We start from the raw sequence: 18195 nt of genomic DNA, 5'->3' as shown, positions 1-18195 counted from the left end.
GGTGGAGCTTGCAGTGAGCTGATATCGTGCCACTGCACTCCAGCCTGGGTGACAGAGCAAGACTCCTTCTCAAAAAAAAAAAAAAAAAAAAAAAAAAAAAAGATAAAAAACCTGTCTTCCTAGAAAGTTTCTTCTTTGTGGCTAACTAGGGTGCCCTGATTTTGATGCATTCTTGGGTGAATAAGGGGTAAATGGAGTAAGTGCCCCCTAAGAGGTCAACCAATTGAAAATATGTTTGAGAAAAATTACGAGAGCATTTAAAAAGAGAAAATTAACACCTATGTCACCAATACTTTTTGTGTGGTTTGCTTTTATTCTCTTTATACATTAATCTAACACAGTTGTACGCAGTTGAGTTTATAATATAATAGAGTTTTGTGTCCTGCTTTTTAATTTACTTTTCATGAGCATCGTTCCATGCTACTAGAAGTTCTTTGTTATCATTTTAATGGCTCTTTGTCAGTATCTGGTACCATACTATGCCATAAATCTCACTGGTTGCAGTTGAATAAAGAAGTTTATGAAGGCTCCCCCCTACTCTGGAAGAGGCTTCCTCACAGCACACTCATGTCCTTAGGTATCACTGGGGGCAGGTAGCATCGATCTCCTTGTCCCATTTCTTCCCACTCCTCTTAAAAACACAGAGTATAGTTTTTCTGTATCTGTACCATCAGATGCCACTGAGATCTGGCCATGATGTTCCGTTAGGCTGTAGACCTGAGCTGTGTCTAGTCATTGACCTTCTTTCTTACTGTAAAGAGGTCTAGGAGGAAATAACTGTAAAGCTATATGTCTTATATAGTGATGTTTTGTTCTGTTACCTGCTTTTCTTTTTTCCTGTGACTTTGAGATCTCTTTTTTCTTTTCTGCCCCTTTAGGGTGAGAGTGAAATTTACATTTTATAAAACTATCAACTCAATCTGTCTTTCTTTCTTAATATACCCATTAGCAGGGTTTCTCAATCTCAGGAGTATTGGCCTTTTGGGCCAGATAATTCTTTGTTCTGGAGAGGCTGTCCTATGCATTATAGGATGTTTGCCCTGGGGAGGGGGAAGAGGATGGCAAAAATCATCTCTGTTGAGAAATTGAGTTGATTTTCCAGTACACTTTAGGACAGCCCTGGAAGTCCATTATTTGGCTGAATATTTAATAGGTGCCACACTCTAGCCTTTATTTAAAAGACTGGAGTGCTGGGAGGAAAACATGACAAATGAATGGCTTTTATTAATTAGATTTTAGATAATTCAATTTTTCATGTCTTTCAATTGGTCTTTGGTTTGAAAATAAAAATTGTTAAGTTTGTCATGTATGATGTCAAACAGTGCTTAAATTCCTAAAAAGATAGCCATAAATGTTTATCTGATTTTGAAGAGAATTTTTAATCCCAGTCTTAAGAATGCTTAATGTTTTGATGTATACTATGTTTGATGTAACCCGCTTTCAAGTTAGACTCAAAACAGATTCACTTATAAGTTACCACTATTATTTTTCGTCCTATCAAAGAAGAAATTCCCTTTTGCTTCTCTGAATTGCTTGTTGCCTAGTTAGCACTTTTAAAAAGCTGGTCTAATCGAATATGAACCTTCAAAAGATATACTTGAAGGGCCATCTGCTGACCCCAGCTCTTGTCCATGTGAGCAACTTGTAATGGTGGCTCTGATGGCCATGTATGTGGAGTGAGAAACAGCAGATGGTTGTAAAGATTTAAAATCTTCAACAAGTGGCCGAGAGTCATCTCTACTTTGGAGTTAGTCAAGATGCTGGCCACATGTGGTTAGTATGTTATGAAGGGTTTCACATATTCTGCTCATTTCGGGTTTTTTTCCCCTCCTTGCTGTTCTAACCTCTTCTCTTTTGTTTTAAGAGCTAGCATTCTGTCTGCTGTAGATTATAAGAATCTGTAACCAAGTGGTTTTGAAAAGGAAAAAAAGCAAACATACTTGTATTTCTTTTTCCAGTGCCATAGAAGATTGGTTAACTAATGTAGTGAAATGGCCCAAATTAGAATTTATTTGTAGTGAAAACCTAAGGTCCCTTATTTATTAGCCTTTCCTGCTACTGGCAGATTCCTGATTACTCACAGGTGAAGTTCAGAGATAATTTTAGCCCATTCCAGAAATTCTTCAGTTTTTTTTTAAATTTAGTTATTTCTGTAAAATAATGTCCATTTGAAGATGTACTTGTGAAAAATATGATTTGATTTTGGTGACTCTTGTGTCCACTCCTTGAACCTACATTCTGATAAAAAGTTAAAATCCTTATGTGACAGAGATGGAAATGTAAGTATGAGGTGGAGGAAAATGTGTTTTCCGTAGCCAGGGTGGAGTGGAACCACCACTATGTGGAAGTGGAAACTCCCATTCCGTGTGATGAAGAAATGCTTGTGGCATGCAGGGCAGATGGAGTGTGAAATAGCTTCAGGACAAGAGGTACCCAGGGACCTTGGTTTAAAATTGCAATTTCAGAAGGAATGCAAGCAAACTTCTGGATTTCAGACAGTTTGGCATTCTGGGGAAAGAAAGGACTTTAATTGGTCTGGCTTTTTTCCAAAAAGTTAGACAGAGTCATCTAGCAAGCTGCTGTCTTCTTTTTCATTGCCTTCAACAACAAGCACTTTATAAAGCAAGTGACAAGTTTTTCTTTTTTGAAACCAGAGTTTAAGATTTACATGACCAGAAAGTTCTAGTATCATAATTTTTCAAAATGAAGCTTATTTAGGGAGCCAATAAGTGGACCTCCTAAGGAACTGAAACACATTCAGTCAGTATTTTGTCAAATTATTATTGACCAAACCAGTTTTTAATTTTACATCTGGTTAGAGCAAGCATTTTTGGATATAGTTGGAAAGCTATCTGGACCCCCTCCATAACTAGTCAACTCCCTTAGCTTCCTGTCTAGGCTCTGCTTGCTAAGTCTTGTCCTGAGATGTAACCTCTCTGGCCTGGAGATAAAGTCAACTAACTGCATGGATGGATTATTTTATATATTCATTCACATGCAGATTCTCCACACCCTCAGAAGGCAACCTGACATCTTTATTGAGAAAATTAAGACCATTTTGCATTAACCACCACATCTTTTTCTAACACCAAATCATTTCTGTCTCTCTCCACTCCCCCACCACCTTCTGTTTCCTCTTTTCATCACTCCTGACCCTCCTCCTTGTCAAAGCCCCTCTCCCTGTGTCTTCATCCTGGGCTTCCTTCTCCATCTTATGTTTCTCTTGTTTCTTCTCCTGGCACTCATCCTCCTCCCCTTTCTCATTCTTGCCACTTATTTTCTCCTGCCTATATAACTTGGTAAGCCTTCTCTCGTTTCCTTAAAAAAAAAAAAAAATCACATCTCAACTCCATTGTGTATCTCTGCCATTTCACTGCTCTATCTCTTTCTTTTATCATCTATTAAAACTCTTCTATTAAGGAAGATTTAAATTCTGATTTGTCAACTCAGTGTTTTGTTCCCTACTGTGGTCATCTTCCTAAGCCCTCTGTGGCCTTTCCATTTTTAAGTTTCCCTTCTTCCATGACTACATATAATCATCTTGGTTCTCTTTCTACCTTTTTGACAAATGTTTTGCCTTTTGGTGAGTTTTCTTTCTTTGGAGAGCTTCTCCATTTTCTCAAACTCAGTTTTTATTTTAGTTTTGATAAACTTACAAATTGTTTCTAACTCCAGCTCTCCTGATTGTTTTTGAAATCTCTTCTCTCATAGCCTTGCTTATTTTTCTAGGCTCATTTCACATGCAGTAACTTTGTTTTTTTCCCCTTAAGTCATAGTCCTTTATGTAATATAAAGATGATAGTTTACTTTATTTTGAACTATAGTAACCAGCTCATCTGCATGGACCCGTATATCATGGTCGACTTGACATTTCTTGCACATTGAATATGATAGAGGTGGGAGATACTCCCTACATTTATAAACTCTCTGAATCAAACCATCTTATTTTGAAGCAATATCTGTTAATCTTTCCTTTTTATCCATCATCTTTAATAATTTGGTGTAGACATGTAAAATGTGTTTTACCTAAGAAGATGAGAGTTGAAATACTGAGTTGAATGTGTATGTCTATCTTCCTGGTAATGCAGGGAGTAGGAAGAATAGACAGGATGACTAGGGGAGGATGTCACATATCTGAATTAAAGTAGTAGTACCTTTCTGCTTAATAGTTAGAAATGAGATTATAAAACACTGACATTGATTTTTCTTGTGACTGATTAAATGAGTCACACTAGTTTATATTCATATCATATATGTATAGCATTCCAGAGTAAAACTCTTAGACATGTTTCAAAGGGGAGTGGAACATTTGTTAAAATCCTGGTTCCTCACTGGGAAGTTGGAAAGGCCAGAATTGGAGCTAACAGTGAATCTAAGAGGTAGAACTAGACCGGGAACCAAGTGTCAAGTTGATTGTAAGAACTGACAGCAGTGGTCAGGCAGAGGGGTAGGTCAGGTACAGGAGATGCTTGGAGGCCGGTGGTGAAAAAAAAAAAAAAAAAGCCGAAGACTCATATAAACCCTGTGAGCAGTTGAGTCATTGAGCACACAGATAACAAACATCAAACAGAGGAAACCAGAAGCTTGATATACCACCTAGATCACTAAGGAAATCATAACACTTCTTTCATGTTCTAGAGCCCACCCTAGTGAGTGGATAGCCCACAAGCTCATAGCTAGACTCAGTGAACTGTGATAAGGAAGATGGTGGAAAGCTGACTAGTGTGGAGGTGAGTGAGGTCAGAGAGAAGACAGATCTGAAGAGGATTATTGATGAGATCATTATGAAGGGCATGCTGAAACTTCTAATATGAATAGTCCAGATTTAGATAAAAGGGAATGTAGAAGTAGCCCAAACTTCAGTAACTAACATTTCTTATATTATGTATTTATGTGTTCACTTATTTATATCAACACTCCTATCCCATCTTAATGCATGTTAGTTTTTTGTCTTATGACCCTCTGCCACCCACTTCTAAGACCCATTCTTAATTTGTTACATTTGAATAAATATCTTTCAAAAAACAAAGTAGTAGCACAAATTGACCACAGTATTCAGTAAAGCTAAATTCCCCTTTTTGCCACAGTATAAAGTCACTTATTAAGGTCTATGAATGGTGCTATATTGAACCAATACATTTTCCTTTACATGTACCTATTTATCCTTTCATATTTCACCAAATATTTACTGAGCTCCTAGTTAGATAATAAACCACCTTATCACTGGTCAGTTAATATTTATTGAATATATTTGGTGTCCCTAGCACCATTCAGATGTATTTTTTACTGCTAATGTCTGTCATTTACAGGTGTGTTAATAGCCATTATAATTGTTATGAGGCCAGAATGATCACTTTGGATAGAGATTTTTAAAATGAGTTTTTACTCATTATAAAATTATAATAATTGACATTCTCATTTGATTTTGATAATATTGATAATTGATGAAATGATCATTGTAGAAAACTGCAGAAAACATGAATAAAATAAAAAGCACTTGTAAGACCACTTCCTAGAAATAACCACTGTTAACATTTGGGCATATTTCTTCTTTTTTTTTTAACCCCAACAATGACTACATAGGGCATATTTCTTTATGTGCACACACACTCTCTCTCTCTCTCTCTCTATTTTCTAAAAATAGCAGTGATATTTGTCTGAGTTCAGGCTGCTATAAAAAATACCACAGCCTGGAAGGCTTAGATGACAAACATTTATTTCTCACAGTTCTAGAGGTTGGGAAGTCCAAGATCAAGGTGCCAGCAGATGCGGTGTCTGGTGAGGACCCTTTTTCCTGGTTGTGGATGGCTGCCTTCTTGCTGTGTCCTTATGTAGAGGAAAGAGCAAGAATCTCCTGTCTCTTTCTTTTCTTATAAGGGGATTAATCCCATCATAGGGGGCCCACCCTTTTGGCCTCATTTAATTCTAATTACTTCCCTAAGGTTTTACCTATAAGTTCATAGCAATGTTTGTATATAGTTTTGTGTCCTGGTTATTTTATTTATCATTAATCACATCATGAGCATCTTATCCCATCCGTACTTTAATGACTATGTAATATTCGACTCAGGACTATACTGTAACTTATTTAGGATCTTTCGGCCTTTAGGTTATTTATAGTATTTTGCTGTTGTAAAATGACTTTCATATAGCTGTCTTAGGCATAATATTTGTCTGCCTCTAATTATTTCCTTCTAGGTTTGTAGAAGTGTGATTATTAGTTAAAACATACTTGGCATACCTCCAGAAGCCAGGGCCACTTGGTAGTTTATGATTGCACCAGGTTTTCAGGTTAAGTCTATAAATAATGAAGAGAGGAAGGAACATAGAACTGCCAACTAGAAGTAAACAGGCTCGTGATCTGGTGACCTGAGCGACTCTGAATGCTTGCTGAGTCCTAGTTGGCCATCTAGGTTGGTTCCCATGTTTGAGAGACGAGGATGGATGAATTTAAGGTAAGCAATATATGCCATAGCTATACGTGCTCTGTGCTTACTGGTTTGAGGGCTTTTGTGTGTTTTTGTATGTGTGAAGATGAGAAAAACTATCAACACTACCTCTGTTGTGTCTTGTCAATTAAGTAGTATTGATTATTGCTACTTGCTGTTCCAGAAGAAAAAAAATTCAATTTTACTCTTAATATTCCAGTATTAATTTAGCCTTTCAGATTGAAACTTCTTTAAAAGTTTTCAATTTATGCTAGTTAAATTAGATTTAGTGTTTTCTTGAAAAAAAAAAAATCTAGTTTTAGATTAGTGGTTGCCAGGAGCTGGGGAGTAGAGGGCAGAGGGGCAATGCAGGTATGACTATAAAAGGGCAACCCGTGAGATGGGTGTGGTTTTGGAAGTGTTCTGTGACAGCTACATGAACCTACACATGTGATAAAGTAGTATAGTATTAAGTGCATAAGAGAAATTAGTACAAGTAAATTAGGAAAGTCTGAGTAAGATTGGTAGATTGTTTCCACACTGATAATCCTGGCTGTGATATGCTATAATTTTGCAAGATGTTACCTTTGGGAGGAAACTGGATAAAGGGTACAATGGTGACTGGCTATATTATTTCTTACAATTTCATGTGACTCTACAATGGTCTCAATAAAAATTTCAAAACTAATTTTTTTCTGGTTCTAAAAATTGGTAATATTCAATAGTGGTTTTTTGTTCAGTGACAAATTTGAAATGAGATTTATATTCACAAGTACTATGTTCAGTATTTTTTTTTCATTAAGTTTGTCTAATATGAACAGAAGGAACAAATGCTTTTTAAAAATCTAAGTTTCTAAAATTATGAAATAATTTTCTTTTTTTCCTCTCCTTTAGCCATGAAGACTTTGAATTTATTTCAGGAACACGAATGCGCAAACTTGCTCGAGAAGGCCAGAAACCACCTGAAGGTTTCATGGCTCCCAAGGCTTGGACCGTGCTGACAGAATACTACAAATCCTTGGAGAAAGCTTAGGCTGTTAACCCAGTCACTCCACCTTTGACACATTACTAGTAACAAGAGGGGACCACATAGTCTCTGTTGGCATTTCTTTGTGGTGTCTGTCTGGACATGCTTCCTAAAAACAGACCATTTTCCTTAACTTGCATCAGTTTTGGTCTGCCTTATGAGTTCTGTTTTGAACAAGTGTAACACACTGATGGTTTTAATGTATCTTTTCCACTTATTATAGTTATATTCCTACAATACAATTTTAAAATTGTCTTTTTATATTATATTTATGCTTCTGTGTCATGATTTTTTCAAGCTGTTATATTAGTTGTAACCAGTAGTATTCACATTAAATCTTGCTTTTTTTCCCCTTAAAAAAAGAAAAAAATTACCAAACAATAAACTTGGCTAGACCTTGTTTTGAGGATTTTACAAGACCTTTGTAGCGATTAGATTTTTTTTCTACATTGAAAATAGAAACTGCTTCCTTTCTTCTTTCCAGTCAGCTATTGGTCTTTCCAGCTGTTATAATCTAAAGTATTCTTATGATCTGTGTAAGCTCTGAATGAACTTCTTTACTCAATAAAATTAATTTTTTGGCTTCTTATTTATGTGATCTATTTTATATTGCTTTGTTTCCGTATACCCTTTCCTCCTTGTGAAAAAGTTTCTGATGGAAGAGGGAAAACGCAGGCATCTTTTATTACTGGAATCCAATACTTAGTTTCTAATACTGTATTACAGTGAAATTTTTGATAGCAGGAGACTGTGTTCCATTATTTTATGTGGGAAAATAATAAGGCATTCTTAGTCCATCCAAAAAAAAGTTTCTTTGAATATTTCTCTAATATTCTTAAAACACCTGTATAACAATTTCCAAGGATTTGGAACATAGATGGGTACATACTGCTTTAGTTAGGAAAAACTAGCTTATGCTGTAGAAACACATCTCTAAATTTGTGCCATTTGATCCATACAGGTTGACATTCTGTTCACCTTAGTCATTCAGGGTGAAGTTCTCCCACCTTATGTTCCTATGTCAAAAAGAGGTTTTAGAGGGAAAGAGCATACAAATTACACACCAACTCTTCAGTGTTTTGAATCAGAAGTAACACACATCACCTGCTGGTTCATTGGGCAAAACAGGTCACACGGCCCCACTCAAATGTAAGGAGGGTTAGGAAATGCAGACTTCTGTGGGTATAGGAAGGCAAGTAGACTGGGAATATTGGTGACCATGAGTTGTGAGTAAGTACCAAAGTTGTCATTCTGTTCTCTGTATTTGGAAGTGGGGAATAGGGATGCATTTCTTGTATTGGTCCGTTTTCACGCTGCTGATAAAGACATACTTGAGACTGGGAAGGAAAACAGGTTTAATTGGACTTAAAGTTCCACATGGCTGGGGAAGCCCCAGAATCATGGTGGGAGGTGAAAGGCACTTCTTACATGGTTGGCAGCAAGAGAAAATGAGGAACATGCAAAAGTGGAAACCCCTGATAAAACCGTCAGATCTCATGAGACTTATTCACTACCATGAGAACAGTATGGGGGAAACTGCCCCCATGATTTAAATTGTCTCCCACCAGGTCCCTCCCACGACACGTGGGAATTATGGGTACAATTCAAGATGAGATTTGGGTGGGGACACAGAGCCAAACCATATCATTCTGCCCCGGCCCCTCCAAATCTCATGTCCTCACATTTCAAAACCAATCATGCCTTTTCAACAGTCCCCTAAGACTTAACTCATTTCAACATTAACCCAAAAGTCCACAGTCCAAAGTCTCATCTGAGACAAGGCAAGTTCCTTTCACCTATGAGCCTGTAAAATCAAAAACAAGCTAGTTATTCCCAGATACAATGGGGGTACAGGTATTGGGTAAATACAGCCATCCCAAATGGGAGAAATTGGCCAAAACAAAGGGGTTACAGGGCCCATGCAAGTCCGAAATCCAGTGGGGCAGTCAAATTTTAAAGCTCCAAAATTATCTTCTTTGACTCCAGGTCACGCTGATGCAAGAAGTAGTTTCCCATAATCTTGGGCAGATCTGCCCCTGTGACTTTGCAAGGTATAGCCCCCACCTGGCTTCTTTCACTGGCTGGCATTAAGAGTGTGGGTTTTCCAGGTGCACAGTGCAGGCTGGCGGTGGATCTACCATTCTGGGGTCTGGAGGACAGTGGCCCTCTACTCACAGCTCCACTAGGCAGTGCCCCAGTAGGGACTCGGTTGGGGGGCTGCCACCCCACATTTTGCTTCCACACTGCCCTAGCAGAGGTTCTCCATGAGGACCCCACTTCTGCAGCAAACTTTTGCCTGGCCATCCAGGCGTTTCCATACATCTTCTGAAATCTAGGTGGAGGTTCCCAAACCTTGATTCTTGACTACTGTGCACCCACAGGCTCAACACCATGTGGAGGCTGCCAAGGTTTGGGGCTTGCATCCTCTGAAACCATGGGCTGAGCTGTACCTTGGCCCCTTTTAGCAATGGCTGGAGTGGCTGGGACACAAGACACCAAGTCCCTAGGCAGCACATAGCATAGGGACCCTATGCCCGGGCCACAAAACCACTTCCTCCGGGGCCTCCAGGCCTGTGATGGGAGGTCCTGCCATGAAGGTTTCTGACATGGCTGGAGTTATTTTCCCCATTGTCTTGGGGATGAACATTCAGCTCCTCGTTACTTACGCAAATTTCTGCAGCCAGCTTGCATTTGTCCTCAAAAAATGCGTTTTTCTTTTCTACTGCATCATCAGGCTGCAAATTTTCCTTTTATGCTCTGTTTTCCTTTTAAAATGAAATGCTCTTAGCACCCAAGTCATCTCTTGAATGCTTTGCTGCTTAGAAATTTCTTCCTTCAGATACCCTAAATCATCTCTCTCAAGTTCAAAGTTCCACAGATCTCTAGAGTAGGGGCAAAATGTCACTAGTCTCTTTGCTAAAACATAACAAGAGTCACCTTTGCTCCAGTTCCCAACAAGTTCCTCGTCTCTATCTGAGACCACCTTAGCCTGGACCTTATCAGTATCAGCATTTTTGTCAAAGCCAATCAACAAGTCTCTAAGAGGTTCTAAACTTTCCCACATTTTGATGTCTTCTTCTGAGCCATCCAAACTGTTCAACCTCTGCCTGTTACCCAGTTCCAAAGTCGCATCCTAATTTTTGGATATCTTTTCCGCAACACCCACTCTCGGTACCAATTTACTGTATTAGTCTGTTTTCATGCGGCTGATAAAGATATACCCAAGACTGGGAAGAAAAAGGTTTAATTGGACTTACAGTTCCACATGGCTGGGGAGGCCTCAGAATTACAGTGGGAGGCAAAAGGCACTTCTTACATGGTGGCAGTAAGAGAAAATGAGGAAGATGCAAAAACAGAAACCCCTGATAAAACCACTAGACCTCATGAGACTTATTCACTACCATGAGAATAGTACAGGGGAAACTGCCCCCATGATTCAAATTATTTCCCACTGGGTCCCTCCCACAACATATGGGAATTATGGAAGTACAATTCAAGATGAGATTTGGGTGGGGGCACAGAGCCAAAACCATATCATTTCTCAAGGAGCTTGTAATCATACACACCAGCAATTGTAGTTCAGTGTTAAAAGGGGTAATAGTAGATAGAATACTGTATGATTGAATAGTGATGGAACAGAGGAAGGAATAAACTAGATATAGGGGATGGCAGTAGAGATAGGAGGTGAGAGGAGGTAAGAAATGCTTCACAGCAGAGGTGAACTCTGAGTTCAGTTTTATATCATGAGCACTTGTTTTCTGAGTAGAAAAGGTGGGAAAACATACTCCTAGCAAACAGAAATACATAAAATAGTTGGACATATTTCAGAGACTGTAAGTGCCTTGGATACAGTTTGGGTGAAAAATGCCAAGTGTGGGAAGCAGTGAGAAATGAGGCAGAGGGAATAACCAGGGCCCTTCACTTAAGATAAAATGAGAGCCTGACTTAGTCCAATGGCAATAGGGACAGATGAGAGAACAGGGCAGAATCAAGAAATATTTATGTGGTAGAACTGACAGAGTTGTTTGATTCTCTGGATGTAGAGGTGGAGAAGAAAGGAGAACTTGCACGGACCTTCAAATTCCTGATTTGGATGAGACAAATGGATGGATGGTAGCACTGGTAATGGAGACAAGGTAGATGGAGATAGGAGGATTCCAGTTAGTCTGTTCTTGGGGGTGTGGAGGATGGGGCAGCCTATCAAGTTGGCTCTTGTAGAATATTTGCATTTGTAGAATATCAAATAGGATCTTCAAGTAAAGATGCAGGAACTGGGTATAGAATTCTGGCTGAGATCAGCTTTTTATGATCATACTTTCTATGATGAAATAATCTTTTGTGATCTGGCCTTGAAGATTCATCATTTATAAAGGGATAGCAGATTATACATGGAAGTTTTGTACTGGCATTCAGGCAAATGGAAACAAAATACCACTAGGAAAAGAAATAGAAGGAAAAATGCAAAAAAAGTGGATCGTGGAATCATTAGTGAGAAAATTGATAAACAGAATAAATGGAGAATATGGGTAAGTGGATTGTGAATAAAAATATTCATTAGGGAGTGGTACAGAGTGGCATATGGATGTGTTGGGGAAAAATTAGAGGTAGTAGTTGATAAGCATATACACACATATTTTTTGCTCCACATTATTTAGATCTCACTATTGAGGAATAACTCCTTTATTTAAGTCTACAAAGACTGAAGGGTACCACAGATACTCCTCCAACCACAAACAGAGTGTGACATCACGCCTTAACTCCACTAATTCAAAAACTCCCACCAGAGTTGAACGTGTAGAAACAGATGCAAAGTTCTAGAGACAATGCATTGTGAGTTCGTGGTGGCAAGGACAGAGCTGGGATTCTGGAGGCAGCAATTGTCTAGTGGAGATGGCACCCATGGAGGTGGGGTCTCGTGTAGAAGTGCTGTCCTATCTAGAATATTCCAGGGACATAACCTTGGCTGGGTCCTCTACTACCAACTTACTTTCATTCTTGAACCACTTTCTAAACCTCATTCTTTTGCATTTTTCATCAATTCTGTAAAATACCCAGTAGCCTTCCCATAAATTCTCTACAAAGACTGAAGGGTACCACAGAGACTCCTAAATTATCTGGAGTAAGTTTCTATCATTTGCTACCAAGAACCCTGACCATGACAGGTGGCACGTGAAAAAAAGTGTATTTTTCATAAAATTCTTGATACTGCCAAATCTCTAGATGATTTTTACTGTCAACAGTGTATTTTAAAAGCTAAACATACAGTGGGGGAATAGACATTTTAAAAAATACTTGGCAGTCAAGAAACAGCATCCTTTCAAGACTACACCAATATACTTATTAAGGTGAGAATGAGAAGATGAGAAATTAACAGCACTGGGGTGAAATATGGTCTAGAAAGTAACCATGTGTTCTATCAGGCCATTGTCGTTAGTCTAGTCCCCTCTGTGACCTCCTGCCTCCAGCTCACCAGAGGGGGACATGGTGAGAACATGACTCCAGACTCCTGTGTCCGTGGGGTAAGTCACCCACTTGTATGTTCCAGACAGAAAAGAAAATAAAAGCAACCAATGATTTCCACCAGTTCACAGGTTGGTATTTGAGTCTTTACAAATCTAATATATGCAGAAATTTCATTTTTCCTCTTCCCAGTTCATAAAAATGAGCTCAAACCAATGTTTAAAACATTCAACCCTCATATCAAACCTCTCCTGTCAAGTGGTCTTGGAAATCTAGTGCCATTTTTATCTATCCATTAGCTGGAAAAGTGAATGAAAAAATACATTTTTTTAAAGGAAGAAGGAAAAGTGCAATCATCTTGGCAGAAATACAGTGTTTGAAATCTGTCACTTCTCTATTTCACTATGATAACCAAGACCACATATTTGAGTTCCATTTCCGTCCAAGAGGGGAACAATTATGTCTTTCTCTTGGAAGTCAGCATTCAAATTCTTTATCAGGGAAAATTCCGAAGTCATGCTTCCCACATATGATATATCCTTATCAGCACATATACATCCAGGAGTGGGTTGGCTTGCAAAGTAAGGAGGTATTTGCCCACTGGGCTTCTTTTATGTGTGGAGTGTATTTCTTAGAAGGCCTGCAAGCCTTTTTGGTTGTATTTCTGCAGGATCGCATTTTCTATTCCACACAGTCTTGTGGAATAAGACTGTGGAATTATATTGAATATAATTATATATAAGTTGTGCAAAAAATACCCTGCCCACCTAACTCTCAGTCAGTCTTTTTCTAGACTGAGCTAAAATCTGGCCTCCCTTAATGATATGCATTTGAGGACTACAACTGAGCAGAGGCACGGTAAGACTGAAGCCTTATCCCCACTTTCTGCTCCCCATGATTCCCAAGGGAAATGGCACCAGACTTTAGGGCCTAGATTTAAGGAACTGAAATAAGAAGCATGGAAAGTTTCATCATGAACTTTTATCTCCCGGACCTGTACCAGCACTGGGCATCTATAATGGTCTTTATTAAGAAGGGGAAAACATCTATACTGAAATAAGAAGACCAATGTCTTCTCTGCTTCCCTTCACCTTGGCTTATCCAGTCTGAGAATCATGTGTTCTCCCCAAGAAGATAACTGCTCTTGTCCTCCCAAGAGGAAAGTAATTGTATGTTAAAAGCAAACTTACTGGGACCTTGCTGCATAATCACTTCTCCAAGAAAAAATAGCCAAGTTAGAGTAATTCAAAGGGAAGACTGAGCTATGTCTGATACATTTCTGGAATCAGCATCTGGCTGCCCTGAAGCCTGCTTTAAGTGATTTTTCAATCTGAGCATATGGCCAGTGCTATTTTGTGTGATCCAGGGCCACATGTATATGTTCCATACAGGCACATATATAGGAATTTTACTTTTGATATGTTGTAAGCAATTTCTAATGGGCTACTCATAGCATTAAAGAATTTTGAGTAAGAAATCAGTTAAAAGTTTAGTTACTTAGGAGAAAATGTTTTGGCGAAACAGAAGACAAAAGTTTAAGAGAATATAGTTTTGTGATTAAGAATTCAGATTCTGAAGTCAAACCACTAATTCCTCCTTGGTTTTTGACTTTCAGCTTTATTAGGCCTCAGTTTCCTTGTTTGTGAAGCAAAAGTTATAGTCAGGAATTAAATGCTGCATTAAAGAACTGCTGCTTTTATTAATAATTACTTACTTTTAAAATACAGTCTTTGGGCCAAGAAATACAGTGATATCAAAATTGACAAGACTAGACCTTGGAATCTTTGCTTCATGGTACCACTCTCTAGCTCACTGAGCCAAGTGACTAAATATAATGACAGGGATACATTCTGAGAAATGTGTCCTTAGGTGATTTTGTCATTGTGCAAACATCATAGAGTTGACTTAATCCTAGATGGTACAGCCTACTACACACCTAGGCTATATGGTATAGCCTGTTGCTCCTAGGCTACAAAACTGAACAGCATGTTACTGTACTGAATACTATAGGCAGTTGTAGTACAATGGTAAGTATTTGTGTATGTAAACATAGAAATGGTACAGTAAAAATACAGCATTACAGTCTTATGGGACTACCCTCTGTAGGTATGTAGTCGGTCTAGGAATATAGTCTGTTGTTTACTGAAACATCCTTATGCTGCATGTGACTGTAGAGATACATGGTAGATACAAATCCAAAGGCAGTCAAAACACAGTATTCTTGGTTCAGCTGCACTTCTTTTTCCTTGTGTCCAACTTCTCTAGTGTTTCTTAGTTTTTTTTTTAAAAGTATATTTTTACAGGGGGAAAAAGCAGAAAAATGGAAACATTTGTCTAAAACAAGCATAGACAAATTCAAGTGTAATAGAAAAAAATTGAAAAAAATGATAGCACTTTGGAAAAGCAGAATCAAGTGTCTTTCAATACAGGTAGTGGAATATCAGAATTAGAAACATAGATTATTCTCAACATTATATTTAATTAAGAAGGTCTGCTTTAATTGTGTTCATTGGTTATATTAAAGCTGCATTTTATAAGCATTACAATTTTCATATAAAAATTCAATTTGATACTTCTCATCAAAGCATAAAATCTTACATACATTTAATCTTTAGAATTGAACTAACTATAAATGGTGCTTCATGTGTTAGCTCATTATTTGTATAGTCTGGATATTAACAGGTATTGGGAATATGGGAATATGAAATACAAAATTGTATACTGTTTCCCAGAGTTTTCCACACATATATTTTTTTCCCGCTTCATGTAGACAAAAGATCTCATGGCTATGACTAGGATGATGACCAAAGTATAGCATAAAGTTTAAATTCATCTTGAATAAACAGCAAATTCTTAATAATGGTTAACATTTACTGAGTGCTTACTGCTCTTTTTGCCAGCCATTGTGCAAAGTGCTTTGCATATACTGTTTTATTTAATGCTTGTAACAACACTGGGCACATAGTAAGAAATAGTAAGAAAGGAGTAGGAAAAAACAAGAGTTCTAAATTGAGAATTGAAAGAAAAATGAAAAGTACAATATAATTTTGTAGAAAGGGAAATTTAAAACTTTAATTTGACTTTAGTAAAGAGGTTAGGCATAAGATAAATGTGCAAAAATCAAAATTCTCTATTAATAATAATTGACTACAAATGAAAATGCCCCAGTGATGGCCATAAAACTTGTAAAATGCATATGAACAAACTTAAGAAAAAAAACCAGGGCCTGCTTGAATACAACTGTAAAATTTTAGGAAAAGACAGAAAACAAGGTCTGAAAAAATGGAAGGGTATACCATGGTTTTAGGTGAAAAGACAATATAAAAACATCAATCTTTCTAAAATAAATAAATGTTTGGGGAAATTGCAATTAAAACCTCAATGATTTATTTTGGGAATTAGAGAAAATAGTTTTATTAGTTCATTTGGAATAATAAATACCAAGAACTGATGAGAAAGTTATGATGAAAAAGTGAGGAGAGACTTAACCGTCAGACCCAATGACTCACAAAAGATATTAAGTAGTTGTCTTAAGACACTGAGTTTTGGGTTGTTTTGTTATACAGCAATAGCTTTTGTAGGGGACAAAAAATATGCTCCATCTACTAATGTTCTCTGGCTAGGGCCCTGTAAATTAGACTAAAAAAAGGTTAACAAGAGAAAAACAGTTTATTAATGGATGCAGTGCACAGCAAGGCAGAAACCTCTTGATGAGTAGTTGAAATGAAAGAAAGGCTAGAATTTGGCTTAGATAGCATATTTTGTTTTATTTGTATTTATTTATTTTTGAGACGGGACCAATCTCAGCTCACTGTAACCTCCACCTCCCAGGTTCAAGTGGTTTTCCTGCCTCAGCCTCCCCAGTAGCTGGGACTACAGGCGCATGCTACCCAGCTAATTTTTTTATTTTTAGTAGAGACTGGGTTTCACCATGTTGGCCAGGCTGGTCTCAAACTCCTGACCTCAGGTGATCCATCCACCTCAGCCTCCCAAAGTGCTGGGATTACAGGTGTGAGCCACTGCGCCTGGCCAATAGCATTTTAATGAAAACAAACAAACGAACAAAAAAACATTGGTAAAGAAACAAAACAAAGAAAAAGGGTTTCAGGCTTTCAAAGGTGGTGCTGTGGTTTGAATTCGCCTCCCAAAGTTCATGTGTTGGAAACTTAATCCCCAAGGCAACAGTGTTTAGAGGTAGCATCTTAATAGGTGATTAGGACATGAGGGCTCTGCTCTCAGAAATGGATTAATGCTGTTAATGCAGGAGTGGGTTATTATCTTTGAAGTAGGTACCTGATAAAAGATTGAGTTCAGCCCCCTTCTCTTTCTCACGAGAGTGCCCACTTGCACTTCTACCTTCTGCCATGGGATAATGCCACAAGAAGACCCTCTCCAGGTGTCAGCCTTTCAATCTTGGACTTTCTAGCCTCTAGAACCATAAGAAACAGATCTCTGTTCTTTATAAATTACCTACCCTCAGGTATTCTGTTACAGCAGCACAAAATGGACTAAGACAAGTGGCAAATAGAGAGAGGGTGAATATGTGGGAGAAATGAATGGAGTAAGGTTTGTTTGTTCAGGTCCACTTTGGTGCAGACTTTCCATCTCCTTCATGGCCATCAAGGAGAGGACATTCATGGCAGTTCTCCCTTCTCAGAATTGTCTGCGTTTAGTTGGATGTGGAAAGCTCCAGGAATACTTCTTTATATATCTGTTGATTCTCATATGCCTCCAACTCAAAATAATTTTTATGCCAAAGTGACATATTTTGGGATGCCATATTCTGATACCTTACACTAATTAAAACAAGTATTAAGGCTAATGTGTTCTAACTCAGCTGTGATTGTACTCATCAGCAGATGAAGGCTGGGGAAATTTGGGTTGTGATAAAGGTAAAGAAAATTAAAGGAATCTGAAATTGGAGCTAGAAGCTTTCCAATTAGAAGAATGCCTGATAGATTAATTAGAATAGTAGTGTCAAGAAATAAACTGGAATCAGGCAACAGTGTATATTTTTTAAAAATAGGGTTGAATTACTGAACTATAAAATAGAATGTATCCTTAATACAATGAGGAAAAACAAACTAGCTAGAATTCTGTAGACCAGCAGTCGGCAAATGACCTGGCTCACTGCCTGGTTCTGTAAATAAAGTTTTACTGCAACATAGCTATGCCCATTTGTTTATGTATTATCTGTGGTTTCTTTTGTGATCCAACAGAAGAGGTGAGGAGTTCAAGACAGATCTTACAGCCTGAAAAGCTGAAAATATTTACTATTTA

General features: G+C 37.9%; 1 protein-coding gene across 3 annotated transcripts in view; it reads left to right on the top strand.

Annotated features, from left to right (window-relative positions):
- PAPSS1 (3'-phosphoadenosine 5'-phosphosulfate synthase 1) overlaps window positions 1-8044 on the top strand; it is a 106569-nt gene extending 98525 nt beyond the window's left edge. For all 3 annotated transcript variants that reach the window (NM_005443.5, XM_011532401.2, XM_011532400.3), the window contains exon 12: window positions 7323-8044. In NM_005443.5, the coding sequence (NP_005434.4) occupies window positions 7323-7461 (139 nt within the window). In that variant the 3' untranslated portion in view covers window positions 7462-8044. The remainder of the gene's footprint in view (window positions 1-7322) is intronic.
- Window positions 8045-18195: the final 10151 nt, after the last annotated feature.

The sequence above is a fragment of the Homo sapiens genome, chromosome 4 (assembly GCF_000001405.40).
Source record: "Homo sapiens chromosome 4, GRCh38.p14 Primary Assembly".
Lineage (NCBI taxonomy): Eukaryota > Metazoa > Chordata > Mammalia > Primates > Hominidae > Homo > Homo sapiens.
This window is presented reverse-complemented; position numbering and strand designations above follow the sequence as displayed.